At 48.4% G+C, this 14,980-nt stretch overlaps 2 pseudogenes; both read left to right on the forward strand.

Moving 5' to 3' along the window:
* Window positions 215-770, forward strand: PCMTD1P8 (protein-L-isoaspartate (D-aspartate) O-methyltransferase domain containing 1 pseudogene 8; annotated as a pseudogene).
* Window positions 771-2,069: 1,299 nt separating this feature from the next.
* DUX4L39 (double homeobox 4 like 39 (pseudogene)) lies at window positions 2,070-3,012 on the forward strand (annotated as a pseudogene).

Raw genomic sequence — 14,980 nt, forward strand, 5'->3', positions numbered from 1 at the left:
TATATTGCCCGGAATATATATACAGCAACCCAGCAACAATGATTGCAACGAAAGTAAGGTAAACAGGTCTACAAACATTTGATTTCCTTATTAGATAGATGAAGTTTTCATAGAGGAAGTGCAAATTCAGATCAGGTTACATAAGCTTAACAATTATTTAAACTGTATATAAAATTAAATCTAACCCTCACCACTACAAATCTGTAAGGAATCACTGTCAGGAATCTACAGGACTTGGCTCTTATTTACATTCGACGCACACTTAGAAAGTTCACAAATGATGAGATGCAGGCCAAGGGGATTCCTCAAAGGGCTCCACCCAAAAGGAAAAGAAAGAGAGCTAAACAGAGAATTACCACTTATGTATTTGTGGGTAATCAGCTTATTCCTCAGCCTCTAGACAGTGAGGAGGATGAAGAAATGGAAGAAGATAACAAAGAAGAGGAAGAAAAAGATCACAGTGAAGCGATGAAGCCAGAGGAGCCACCTCAAAATTTACTGAGAGAAAAAATCATGAAACTGCCCCTCCCTGAATCTTTAAAAGCTTACTTGACATATTTTAGAGACAAATAACTTAGATCAAGAAGAAAGAATGCCTACTGATAATTCCTTTAGTCTTGAAAATGTAGCATTTGTTAGGAATTAAAAGAATTATTTATTTCATCAGAGCAAATTATAGGGGAAAAAATATCACTTGTTACTGTCAGTAACATAAATGATGTATTGAGTGAATAAAAGAATCCCTTTTATAAAATCTATTTTTCTTTAAATCTTGGAAAATTGTTGTTTCACCTCAGAGTGATTTGAAAGTGGAATGTAACAGTAGTCAAGACTTGTGTGCTATTTCTGATTCTTCCTTTTCTGATTCCTTACGGATCTCGTTCATTTTGATGTAGAAAACGAGAGCAAAACTACAGAGAAAAGAAACGCCAGGTGCATCACAGCCTGAGGATGGATTCCTGTTTCCTGCGACATGGGGAGTCTCCACTATGGCCTGTTTCCAAACAGGAAACTGGAAAGGAGAGCGAAGACACGATGCTGCTTTTCCACGCTTCTCTGGAGGTTTCTGTGTCCCCACAGAGCTCGGGAAACAATCAACATGGTCACGCTTTCGCGGGCCAGAGACGCATGAGCAACAGGCCCCCTTGCAGAAGGCAAAGGAACGTGGAACCCGAAACCACGCTTCAGTCGGCCTGAGTGTGACTCCTGTGTGGACGGGACTATCCACCTCGCGCTCCGTTGCAGGCTCAACCTGGGGCTATCTCATCTGTGAACCATGTGGATGAAAATTGGACAATCGCCTGAGTCTCGGCTCATTGCTCTCTGGACAATTCGCTCATTCCTTGGGAGACGAAATTCGTCTGAATTGCTCCCGGATTAAGTAACCCAGGCTGGCGATCCGGAGGGCAGGTGAGAGCGCCGCAGGCCGACGCGGCTGTGGGCCGAGCACTTAGCCTGCACTGGGCACCCAACATTTTCCCGGAGTGCAAGATCCTGCTAGTCCTGGAGGCAGAAGACTACTTTTCTCTCTGCCTTCCTCTCTCTGTTTCTTGCTCCCTCTTTCCCTCCTTCCCTCCCTCAGTTCCTCCCTTCCTCCCTCCCTCCCTCCTTCCCTCTCCCTCTCCTTCTATCCCTCCATCCTTTCCAAGGTCCCACGGTCCATCCGTTCTTTCCTCCCTCCATGGCTCCCTCCTTCTCTGTCTCCGTTCCTCTCCCCATCTCTGCCTGAGTTCCCTCCCGCGTAGAAAGGGCAGAACCCTGGCTTGCACGGGGTCTCGGGTCTGCATTTAGCTGTCAGGTGCTCCACATCGATGCCGAGGAAGCTGGCGGGGCAAGGGTAGGCGAGTGACGGTGGGGCGGGGAGGCAGAGGTGGCGAGACGCGGAAAGAAGAGCAGGCCTGGCGTCTGACCGGGCCAGTGTTTCCCGCCCGCCCCACTGAAGAACGCGGCAGGGGGCAAGAGAGAAGGGATGAGAGCTCCGCCTAGACTAGTTAGAAAACCTAGGCTACTGCCTGCTAACCCGCCCATGAGCAGTAGACAGTCCGCCTCCCGGTACCTGGACGGGCCCTGGGATCCCCGGAATGCTCAGGAAAGAATGATAGCCCTCCTCTGAGTGGAGTCTCTCACGGGACCTGGAACTCAGGGATCCTAGGCAGGTCAGCTGGAAGGGAAGACAAGCCTCTCCATACCGAGTCAGAGGTTCACCGCGAAAGAGAGGCCGCCGCCCTGCCCCCACCCTGCCCCAAACCCGCGTCCTAAAGCTCCTCCAGCAGAGCCCGGTGTTCTTCCTGGCTGAGGAGTGTTTCCAGCGGAGCGGGCTCTTCCACGTCCTTCAGCTTCCCCAGTGGCGCCGGATCTAGGAAAGACTGTGCCTTTTGCTGAAACTCTGGGGTTGACAGGAGCTCATCTAACAGGCTGGGGGTGTGTGTAGACGAGCGCCCCGGCTCCTGGAGTGGTTGGGAGGTGCCTGGATGGCTTGCATATGTGCTTGACGAGGAGGCCTCCGGGGTCGCGAGCTTCAGAGGGGGAGGTGCTCGGTCTTCGGTTTCCCACGCTGCCCTGGCAACCTGGGGCTCAAGCCCCACCGCGGACTCTGGTGGGACGTGGGTGGCGCAAACACACCTTGCCCCTGTGACTCAGCTTGAGGGGGCCCAAGCGGTCCCACTGAGCACGCGCCCACCAGGCCGCCGTGCTGCGGGTCCTCTTCCTCCTGGCATTTGTTAGGGTGCGGAGGCCACTGAGGAGTCTGAGGATGGGACACTCCTACTTCCAGAGGAGCCAGGGCAGCGAACACAAAATCCCCGCATGCAGGGACAGGTTGAGAGATTCCTTCTGCCTGCGCAGCCTGGCTGGGCTGGAGCGGGGGGAAGGCCCTTGCTCCCTGGCTCATGAAAGCCCCATGTGGGAGAGCCCCAGGCGTGCAGGGCGTGTGGGGTGCGGGAAGCCCCATTCCCCATGCCCTGGTGTGGGTGAACTCGATTGAGGAGGGAGGAAGATGACACCCACCGGGGGTGTTAATTAGTAACCACAGTGGCCTCAAAGAGCTCAAATGAAAGGAAGAATTGCATGTCTCTCACTTTAAGTCCAGAGCTAGAAATGATTAAGCTTACTGAAGATGTAAAATTTTCATCGCTAGAGAGACGTCAACACTTGGCTTCAAAACTTCAAAGGATGGGCTGACTCTCTTTGAGGACCACTGCAGTTGGTGACTTTAAGTTACAGCCAATGATCATTGACCACTCTGTAAATCTCAGGGCCCTTAAGAGTCATGCAAAATCTATTCTTTCTGTGCTCTAGAAACGGAACATCACAATCTGAGTGACAACACATCTGTTAAGAGCATGGTTTACTGAATATTTTAATCCCACTATTGAGACCTACTGCTCAGAAAAAAACAAAAAACAAAAAAAGAAAAAACAAAAACGATTCCTTTAAAGGGATTGCTGCTTGGCCAGGCACAGTGGCTCACACCTGTAATCCCTGCACTTTGGGAGGCGAGGTGGGTGGATCGCCTGAGGTCAGGAGTTGGAGACCAGCCTGGCAAAAATGATGAAACCTTGTCTCCTATAAAAATACAAAAAAATTAGCCGGACATGGTGGTTGTACCTGTAATTTCAGCTACTTGGGAGGCTGACGCAGAAGAATGGCTTGAATCCTGGAGGTGGAGGTAGAAATGAGCCGAGGCCATGCCACTGCCCTCCAGCCTGGGCAACAAGAGGGAAACTACATAAAGGAAAAAAAAGGAAAGAAAAGAAAAAAAGAAAAAAGATTGCTGCTTATTGACAATTCACCTAGCTACCCAGAAGCTTAGATGGAGATGTACTTGGAAATTAATGTTATTTTCATGGCTGCTAATACAATATCTATCCTTCAGCCTGTGGATCAAGGAGTGGTTTTGACTTTTCAAGTGTTTATATTAAATAATAAATGCATTTTATAAAGGTATAGCTGTCATAGATAGTAATTTCTTTGATGAATCTGGATAAACTGAATTGAAAACCTTTTGGAAAGGTTTCACCATTAATACCTTCATGATATTTCAACCTCTTCCGGTGAATCACAAATGTCCTTAATAGCAAATGCCATTAAGGACATTTGTGATTGATGGGAGGAGGTTGAAATATCAACATTAACAGGAGTTTGGAAGAAGTTGATTCCAGCCCTCATGGAAGACTTTGAGGGCTCAGGATGTCAGTGGAGGAAGTCCCTACAGATGTGGTAGAAATCGCAAGACAACCAGAATTAGAATTAGGGCTTTAAGACGAGAATAAATTGCTGTAAACTCATGATGAAACTTGAACAAGTGGGGAGTTGCTTCTTATGGATGAGCAAAGAAAATATTTTCTTGAGATGGAATATAATCCAGGTGGAGATGCAATGAAGTTTGTTGAAATAACAACAAAGGATTTAGAATATTCCATAAACCTAGTTGATAAAGCAGCAGCAGGGTTTGAGAGGGTTTACTCCAATTTTGAAGGAAGTTCTACTGTGGGTAAAATGCTATCAAACAGCATCACATTCTACAGGGAAATGTTTTGTGAAAGGAACAAACTTCATTGTTTTAAGAAATTGACACAGGCACCCAACTTTCAGCAGCCCCCACACTGATCAGTCAGCAGCCATCAACATAGCGGCAAGACCCTCACTGTAGATAAAAGAAAGAGAGCTCAGACTGTTACTGTGTCTATATAGAAAGGAAAAACATAAGAAACTCCATTTTGAAAGACTTGTACTTTAAACAATTGCTTTGCTGAGATGTTGTTAATTTGTAGCTTTGCACCAGCCACTTTGCCCCAGCCACTTTGACCCAACCTGGAGCTCACAAAAACATGTGTTGTATGAAATCAAGGTTTAAGCGATCTAGGGCTGTGCAGGACGTGCCTTGTTAACAAAATGTTTACAAGCAGTATACTTGGTAAAAGTCATTGCCATTCTCTAATCTCAATAAACGAGGGGCATAATGCACTGCAGAAAGCCGCAGGGACCTCTGCCCTTGAAGGCGGGGTATTGTCCAAGGTTTCTCCCCATATGATAGTCTGAAATATGGCCTCGTGGGATGAGAAAGACCTGACTGTCCCCCAGTCCGACACCCATTCAGAGTCTGTGCTGAGGTGGATTAGTAAAAGGGGAAAGCCTCTTGCTGTTGAGATAGAGGAAGGCCACTGTCTACTGCCTGCCCCTGGGAACTGAATGTCTCAGTATAAAACCTGATTGTACATTTCTTCAATTCTGAGATAGGAGGAAAACCGCCCTATGGTGGGAGGCCAGACATGTTTGCAGTAATGCTGCTTTGTTATTCTTTACTCCACTGAGATGTTTGGGTGGAGAGAAACATATCTGGCTTACGTGCACGTCCAATCATAGTACCTTCCCCTGAACTTAATTATGACATAGATTATTTTGCTCACATGTTTTTTGCTGACCTTCTCCTTATTATCACCTTGCTCTCCTACTACATTCCTTTTTGCTGAAATAATGAAAATAATAACCAATAAAAACTAAGGGAACTCAGAGGCCAGTGCTGGTGCAGGTCCTTGGCATGCTGAGCGCCGGTCCCCTGGGCCTACTGTTGCTTCTCTATACTTTGTCTCTGTGTCTTCCTTGTTTTCTCTGTCTCTGGTCCCACCTCACTAGAAATACCCGCAAGTGTGGAGGGGCAGGCCACCCCTTCACTCACCAGCAAAAAGATTATGACTTGATGAGGCTCAGATATTCATTAGTATTTTTCAGCAATGAGGTATTTTAAGTTAAGGTATGTACATAGATTTTTAGACATAATGTGATTACTAATTAATTGATAATTATTAAATACTCATTAGACTACAACATAGTTTAAGCATAACTTTTATAAGCACTGGGAAACAAAATGTGTATGCGACTAACTTGATTGTAACATTTTCCTTATTGTGGTTGTCTGGAACCAAACCCACACTATCTCTGAGTATGCTTGTAGGTTTTTGGTTGTTCTTTGTTTTGAGATGGGGTTTCGCTCTGTCACCCAGGCCAGAGTGCAGTGGCATGATCATAGTTCACTGCAGCCTCAAACTGCTGGGTCAAGTGATTGTTCTACCACAGCCTCCTGAGTAGCTGGGACTACAGGCATGCAGCACTATGCCTGGCTATTTTTTTTTTTTTTTTGAGACAGAGTCTCGCTCTTTCTCCCAGGCCAGAGTGCAGTGGCGCTATCTCGGCTCACTGGAAGCTCCGCCTCCCGGGTTCACGCCATCCTCATGCCTCAGCCTCCCGAGTAGCTGGGACTACAGGCGCCCACACCAGGCCCGGCTAATTTTTTGTATTTTTAGTAGAGACGGGGTTTCACCGTGTTAGCCAGGATGGTCTCGATCTGCTGACCTCGTGATCTGCCCGCCTCGGCCTCCCAAAGAGCTGGGATGACAAGCGTGAGACACCGCGCCCGGCCTGCCTTTTCTTTCTAGTGGCTCAAGCCCCATGGTGTGTGGTGGGCCTGATCTCCGATGCTTTTGAACAGTGTAGAAACTGTTGCTGTCTGTATTTAATTTTTTCCTACATGTATGGTCTCGATCGATCACAAGAAGATCAATAAGCCCTTCTCCTTATTCTACTTCCCTTTCTAGCAACGGAGAACTTTGATTGGATTTTTCCTGTCTACAGACAGGAATGAGTCTGCTGTTTTCTTTTTTAAACCCGAGGGGACTGAGCCTGAGGGCCTCGAGCGCGGCCATCCTCCTCCAACCCACAACTGGTGATTGTGGTGGTGGTGGTGGTGGTGGTGGTTTTGTGTTCCAGCTTCTGTTCTGTTGTTGTTGTTGTTGCTGCTGCTGCTGTTGCTGCTGCTGCTGCTGGTGCTGTCGTCATTGTTTTGGTATTTTACAGACTCGGGGTGTATGTGCTTGTTTGTTAGATCAGCGTACTACTGCTTCCGGATGTAGAAGTGGACCTCCAGTGTATCCGTTACCCACATGGCGAACGTTGTCTCTGACTGGCAATTTATTCATTCCTCGTCCCCCTCTTACCCTCCTCCTCCCTTTTGGAGTGTCTGTTATTTCCATCTTGATGACCGTACGTGTACCCATTATTTACCTCCCACTTGTAAGCAGAAGGCAGTTCACTGGGTACATACTTGCTTCCAGCTCTACCCATGTTGTGGGAAAAGACGTGAAATCACTCTTTTTTGTGCCTGCACCATTGGAGAATTTTAACTTTTTTCTCTTCTTTTCTTTTCTTTCTTTTCTTTTCTTTTCTTTCTTTTTTTTTTTTCTTTTCTTTCCTCCTCCTCCTCCTCCTTCTTTTTTTCATTTTTTTCAGCTGGGCTCTCTTACTTGTGTTGCTCAGTTGCTCGGGCTGGTCTCAAACTCCTGGACTTGACACTTCTCCCGTCACATCAACCGCCTGGTTGTTGAAATGAGCATCTCTTGTAAAATTGAAAAGATGAAAAAAATAGAGAGAAAGACAAGAAGCAGGGGGTGAACGTTTCTCTTGCCGCCTCCCAGGGTGTACCTTGGACCCAATAGGAGGGAGGGAGCTTGGCTGGGTGGGTTTTTGGTGCTAAATCCTCCCGAGGGCCTCCTTCCCTCTCCCCCTTGTCCCCTCTTCTCCCCCAGCCAAGGCTCCCACCGCCGCTGTGGGATTTTCCGTGGGAGAGATATGGGAGAGGACTGACGCGGCTTCCAGATCTATATCTTGCCAGACATCTCTGGCTCAGCGTCCCCCACCGGCTGCCTGCCACCTTCCAAGGAGCTCTGAGGCCGATGCCCCGCCCCCTTCACATCCCGCCACCCTCCTCCGGTTGGCCTACGCCCGGCGACCCCAAGGGAGCCGCGTTGACGCTTTCTTCTTCTTTTTCTTGTTTTATTTTATTATTATTATAGTTTAAGATTTAGGGTACATGTGCACAACGTGCAGGTTTGTTACATATGTATACATGTTCCATGTTGGTGTGCTGCACCCATTAACTCGTCATTTAGCATTAGGTATATCTCCTAATGCTATCCCTCCCCCAACCCCACAACAGTCCCTGGTGTGTGAAGTTCCCCTTCCTGTGTCCATGTGTTCTCATTGTTCAGTTTCCACCTATGAGTGAGAACATGCAGTGTTTGTTTTTTTTGTCCTTGAGATAGTTTGCTGAGAATGATTGTTTCCAGTTTCATCTATGTCCCTACAAAGTACATTAACTCATCATTTTTTATGGCTGCATAGTATTCCAAGGTGTCGAATCCTTCAGCGAAGTCTTCCACCAGATGCCCCGGGTGGGCCGGATGGATGGGATGAGACTGGACCACCCCAGACCGTGCTGTTCTTGGGGGTGGGTTGACGTACAGGGTGGACTGGCAGCCCCAGCATTGTAAAGGGTGCCCAGGTATGGAAATGTTACATAGGATGCCCTCCTTCCCGTCAGCCTGCCTTCAGCTTCCTCAGGCATGAAGACAACTTCCCATCAGAACCTTTTTTCTTCCCTTTCTCCACCACACAGATGAGACTCATGAGAGGGAGAAACAGCTCAATAGATACTGCTGACCTTCATTTGTGGAATCCTCAGTCATCTACAGACAGAGAGGTGACTAGACAGGGACCCAAATCAAACCCCATTTCCGGGTCCTCATGGTGGGATTGGTCTCTCTCTCTCTCTCTCACACACACACACACACACACACACACACACACACAATTTCCACATCTAGTTCACAAACCACACTAATTTACCCTTTTCACAGTATGCAGTCTGAGTAAAACCCACCACACCCTCCACCCGGCGACTGACGAAACCCCTTCTCTACAATTTATTAAAAAGATTATCTGGGCCGGGCACAGTAGCTCACGCGTGTCATTCCAACACTTTGGGAGGCCAAGGGGGGTGGATCGCTTGAGGCCAGGAGTTCAAGCCCAGGCTGGCCAACATGGCAAAACCCTATCTCTATGAAAAATAGAACAATTAGCCAGGCCTGTTGGCATAGGCTTGTAATCACAACTACTCAGGAAACTGAGGCGGGCGAATTGCTTGAAGCAGGGAGGCTGAGGTTGCAGTGAGCTGAGATCATGCCATGGCAATTATTGAGACAGAGCGAGACTCTCTCAATAATCATAATATTATTATAAGATTAGTTGTGCGTGCTGATACCCGACTGTAGTCGCAGCTACTCGTGAGGCTGAGATAAGGAGAAGATCACTTGAGGCCCCACAGGTTGAGGCTTCAGTCAGCTGTTACCCACTGTATCCTGGGCAGTCACCAGTCAAGGAGATATGCCCTTCCCCGTTTTCTTTCTTTTCTTTTCTTTTTTCTTTTCTTCTCTTCTCTTTTCTTCTTTTTTCTTCTCTCTTCTTCTCCCTTTCTTTCTTTCTGTCTCTTTCTTTCTTTTCTTTTCTTTCTTTCTTTCTTTCTTTCTTTCTTTCTTTCTTTCTTTCTTTCTTTCTTTCCTGCCTCACTGCCTTCCTGCCTTTCTTCTTTCCTCCCTTCCTCCCTTCCTTCTTTCCTCCCGCCTCGGCCTCCCAAAGTGCCGGGATTACTGGTGTGAGGCACCATGCCTGCTTGGCCTAAAGGGACACCCTTTGAAAGTAAGACACAGACAGCGCCTTCCAGTGATCTGATTGATTGATTGATTGACAGATTTCGAGACAGCGTCTCACTCTGTCACCCTGGCAGTGGTGCCATCATATCTCACTTACTGCAGCATGGACGCTTCTGGACTCAAGCGATCCTTCCACATCAGCCTCCAGAGTAGAGTACCTGGGACCACAGGCACACGCCATTGTGCCCAGATCATTTTTATTTATTTATTTATTTTTCCCGAGACAGAGTTTCGCTCTTGTTGCCCAGACTGGAGTGCAATGGTGCGATCTTGGCCCACCACAACCTCTGCCTCCCGGGTTCATGCGATTGATTCTCTTGCGTCAGCCTCCTGAGTAGCTGGGATTGCAGGCATGCGCCACCACGTCTGGCTGATTTTGTATTGTTAGTAGAGACGGGGCTTCTCCATGTTGGTCAGGCTGGTCTCGAACTCCCGACCTCAGGTGATCCTCCCTCCTCGGCCTCCCAAAGTGCTGGGATGACAGGCGTGAGCCACTGCCCCTGGCCTTCATTTTTAAATGTTTTTCCACAGACAGGGTCTCATCATTTTGTTGCAACCCTCCTGACCCGGCGTCTCAAAGTGCTGGCGTGAAGGGCTTGAGCCACTGCGCCTTGACTCCGGGAAATGATTCACGACCACGACGGCTGTACTCTTTCTTTCTTTCTTTCTTTCTTTCTTTCTTTCTTTCTTTCTTTCTTTCTTTCTTTCTTTCTTTTATTCTTTCTTTCTTTATTTTCTTCTTTCTTATTTATTGATGAATTTTTTATATTGATTGATTGATTTTGAGAGGGAGTCTTGCTCTGTTCGAGGCGAGGCGAGGCGAGGCGCATCGCTTTGGAGGCCGCAGCACTGCCTTCTAAAGCCCCATTCAAATGCACAAAGTCCTATTCCCTTCCTGGAGTTGGAGCTGATGCCTTCCATTGCCTTGGGCTTCTCTCCATTCAGAAGATTTTACAGGTGCAACCCCACCCAGAGGCTGGCTGCGGCTGAGGATTAGGGGATGTGGTGGGGCTGGAAACTCGTCCTCTATTGTTGCAAGCTCAGCCAAGACATCCCCCGACCCCCATCGCTTGCTCACCCTTTGAGATCCCCTGCCTCCACCGCCTTGGAGGCTGACCTCTTACTTTAATTTCTGTCTTTCTTCCTTTCCTGCGTTTGAGGAGGGGGTGCAGGAATGAGGGTGTGTGTGGGGAGGGGGTGCGTGGTGGGGACGGAGGGGAGCGTCCTAAGGGTCGATTTAGTGTCATGCCTCTTTCACCGCCACCACCGAAGATGAAAGCAACAATCAGCTAAATACCGCGTGTTCTCATCCATAAGTGGGAACTTATAGATGAGAGTTCTGCGTGGGCAGAACGAGGGGGACGAGAGACGCGGGAGTCTACTTGAGGAAGGAGGGGTGGAAGGAGAGACAGCTTCAGGAGAAACCAAAACAAAACAAAACATGAAAACTGTCGAGTACTGCGCTGAGTGTCCGGGTGATGAAATCATCTGCACACTGAAACCCCCGGCAGAAGTTTACCTATGTAACGATCTTGCACATGTATGTTTGAACAAGAAGTGAAAGTTAGGGGAGAAGGAGAGAGAAAGGGAGAGAGAGAGGGAAAGAGAGAAAGAGAGAGAGAGAAGTGAAACGAAACACCACCTCCTTGACCTGAGTCAGGGTATTTCTGGCCTTTTGGGGGAACATTCAGCGACAATGCAGTACTTGGGCCCGTTCTTTTCTTTTTCTTCTTTTCTTTTTTTTGGACAGAGTATCTCTCGCTCTTTCACCCAGGCTGCGGTGCAGTGGCGCTCTCTAGGCTCACTGAAACCTCTGCTTCTCGGGTTCCAGTGATTCCTCTTCGGTAGCTGGGATTACAGGCGCGCACGACGATAGCCGGCTAATTTTTCTATTTTTAGTAGAGACAGGGTTTCTCCATGTTGGCCACGTTGGTATTGAACTCCTGACCTCAAGTGATCCACCCTCCTGGGCCTCCCAAAGTGCTGGGACGACAGGCCTGAGCCGCCGGGATTTCAGCCTTTAAAAGCGCGGGCCCTGACACTTTTCGCTGCGGCCCTTATGCTCAGAATGACGTGTCCTGTCTGCCATAGGTTGACTCTTTGAGTCCCCTATGCCATTGCACTTTAGCCTGGGCAGCAAGAGCGAAACTCCGTCCCCCCACCTTCCCGTGCAAATAAATAGATAAATAAATAAATGAATAAATAAATAAATAAATAAATAAATAAATAAAATCTCTACACATGACCTATAAGTGTGTGTTCCCATGAGTTATTTCTAAGAAATGGCACTGTACATTGAACGCAGTGGCTCATGTCTGTCATCCCAGCACTTTGGGAGGCCGCGGTGGGTGGGTCACGAGGTCAGGAGTTCAAGACCAGCGTAGCCGACATGGTGAAACCGACTCAGTTTCGTATTTTCAATCTCTACTGAAAATACGAAACTGAGTCGGGCGCGGTGGCGCAGGCACCTGTAATCCCAGCTACTCGGGAGGTTGAGGCGGAAGAATCGCTTGAACCTGGCAGGCAGAGGTTTCAGTGACCCGGGATGGTGCCACTGCACTAAGCTTGGTCGACAGAGTGAGACTTGGTCTCCAAATAAATAAATGAAAGAAAGAAAGAAAGAAAGAAAGAAAGAAAGAAAGAAAGAAAGAAAGAGAAAAGAAAAGAAGAAAGGAGAAAAGAAAAGAAAAAAAAGAAAAAGAAAAGAAAGAAAAAAGAAAAGAAAAGAAAAGAAAAAAAGAAAAGAAAACCAGAAAAGAAAGATAAAATGAAAGAAAAGGCACTGTATCGCTACTGGGCTAGGACCTTCTCTCTTTCTGTCTGTTTCTCTCTGTCTCTCTCTGTCTGTGTCTGTTTCTCTCTGTCTCTCTCTGTTTTCCTCTGTCTCGCTGTCTCTATTTCTTTTTCTGAGTCTCTCTGTCTGTCTCTCTCGCTCTCTCTCTCTCTGTCTCTCTCTCTGTGCCTATCTTCTGTCTTACTCTCTTTTTCTACCCGTCTGTCTCTCTCTCTGTCCCTCTCCCTCCCTTTCTGTCTCTCTCTCTCTCACTCTCTCTCTGTCTGTCTCTCTTTCTGTCTGTTTCTCTCTGTCTCTCTCTCTCCATGTCTGTCTGTCTCTCTCTTTCTTTCTCTCTGCCTCTGTCTGTCTCTCTCTGCCTGTCTCTCTCACTGTGTCTGTCTTCTGTCTTACTGTCTTTCTCTGCCTGTCTCTCTCTCTCTCTCCCTCCCTGCCTTTCTGTTTCTCTCTCTCTCTTTCTGTCTGTTTCTCTCTGTCTCTGTCTGTCTCTTCTTCTGTCTGTCTTTCTCTCTCTTTCTTTCTTTTTTTTTTTCAGATGGAGTCTCACTGTGTCGCCCAGGCTGGAGTGCAGTGGCGCCATCTTGGCTCACTGCAAGCTCCACCTCCCAGGTTCACGCCATTCTCCTGCCTCAGCCTCCCGAGTAGCTGGGACTATAGGCGCCCGCCACCACGCCTGGCTAATTTTTCGTATTTTTAGTAGAGACGGGATTTCACTGTGTTAGCCAGGATGGTCTCGATCTTCTGACCTCATGATCCGCCCGCCTCAGCCTCCCAAAGTGCTGGGATGACAGGAGTGAGCCACCACGCCCAGACTGTCTCTCTCTTTCTTTCTCTCTCTCTCTTTCTCTCTCTCTCTCTGTGCCTATCTTCTGTCTTACTCTCTTTCTCTGCCTGTCTGTCTCTCTGTCTCTCTGTCTGTCTCTCTCCCTCCCTGTCTGTTTCTTTCACTCTGTCTCTCTTGCTCTCGCGCTCTCTCTCTCTGTCTCTCTCTCACGCTATTTCTCTCTGTCAGTCTCTGTCTGTCTTTTTCTCTGTCTCTCTGTTTCTTTCTCTCTATCTGTCTCTCTCTCCCTCTGCCTGTCTCTCTCACTGTGTCTGTCTTCAGTCTTAATCTCTTTCTCTGCCTGTCTGTCTCTCTCTCCATCTCTTTCTGTTTCTCTCTCTCTCTCTCACTCTCTCCGTCTCTCTCTCTTTCTGTTTCTGTCTCTCTGTCTGTCTCTGTGTGTCTGTCTGTTTCTCTCTGTTTGTCTCTCTCTCTCTTTCTGTTTGTTTCTCTCTGTCTGTCTCTGTCTATCTCTCTCTCTCTCTGTCTCTCTCCCTCCCTGTCTGTCTTTTTCTCTCTCTCTCTGTCTCTGTCTCTCTTTCTTTCTGTCTGTTTCTCTCTGTCTCTCTCTGTCCATCTCCGTCTTTCTATGTCTGTCTCTTTCTCTGTCAGTCTGTCAGACCCCCCGTGCCGCGGAGGGCCCTGCCCCTTCCACGAAAGTGAGAAGCGCCTGCTTAGAGAGGCCCAGAGGAATCTAGACAGACGAGACTTAACAGGCTTCGCCACTCGGTGTATGATTTCGGGAGGTCGAGGCCGGGTCCCCACTTGGATGGAAGGGACATTTTCACACTTTTCTCTCTGTCATGTGTGGCGTCCCTACTTCTCATATTTCCCTGATTAGCTCCTCGACTTAAAAATACACGGTTAAGGCCGAGCGCAGTGACTCACGTCTGTCATCCCAGCACTTTGGGAGGCCGAGGCGGGTGGATCACCTGAGGTTGGGAGTTCGAGACCAGCGTTGCCAACACGGCGAAACCTCATCTCTACTAAAAATACTAAATTGAGTCGAGCGTGGGGGGGCAGGCGCCTGTAATGCCAGCTACTCGGGAGGCTGAGGCGGGAGCATCGCTTGAACCTGGGAGGCGGAGGCTGCAGTGAGCCGAGATCGCGCCACTGCACTACAGCCCGGGCTGTAGAGTGAGTGAGACTCTGTCTCTAAATAAATAAATAAATAAATAAATAAATAAATAAATAAATACATTATTTTTCGTGCTGACTGACACTTGCAGGCATCGGTTGTCTTCGGGCATCGTAGCGGCCACTGTTATTGAAAGTCGAGGTGACACGGAGGGAGGTCTCGCCGACCTCACAGAGCCTGGGGCAACCGATTTCTCTCTCTCCCTTCTGGAGGTCCCTCCCTCTCTCCCTCGTTGCCTAGGGAACCTCCGCTGGCGGGGGCCCTATTGTTCTTTGATCAGCGCTTTAGTTTTCTTTGTGCGTTGTTTTCTTTCATGAGCATAGACTCTTCTACTTGGGTTTTAGGAAGGGTCAGTTTAATTTTCAAGTCGCCCCCCAGCTCCCCTCACTACCCACGTCCCTTTACCTTCGTTTAGTGAGTCAGTTAGGTGGGTTCCCTCCAAACCCCCCACCCTCCGCCTCCCAACACCCTGCTTGGAAACCTTCCGGAGCCACCCAGGTGTGCCTCCGTCTTCTCTCCCCTTCCCCCACCCCTTGCCGGCGATCTTATTCTTACCAGGCTGACATTTGCAACGGTGGGCGTCAGGCCTCACTCAGTGGCCACGGTTTTTTAAGATGGGGTGGCACGGTCCCACTTCCCCAGAGGCAGCTTGGGCCGATGGCATAGCCCTTGACCCGCGTGGG

Source organism: Homo sapiens, chromosome 20 (assembly GCF_000001405.40).
Source record: "Homo sapiens chromosome 20, GRCh38.p14 Primary Assembly".
NCBI classification, from domain to species: domain Eukaryota; kingdom Metazoa; phylum Chordata; class Mammalia; order Primates; family Hominidae; genus Homo; species Homo sapiens.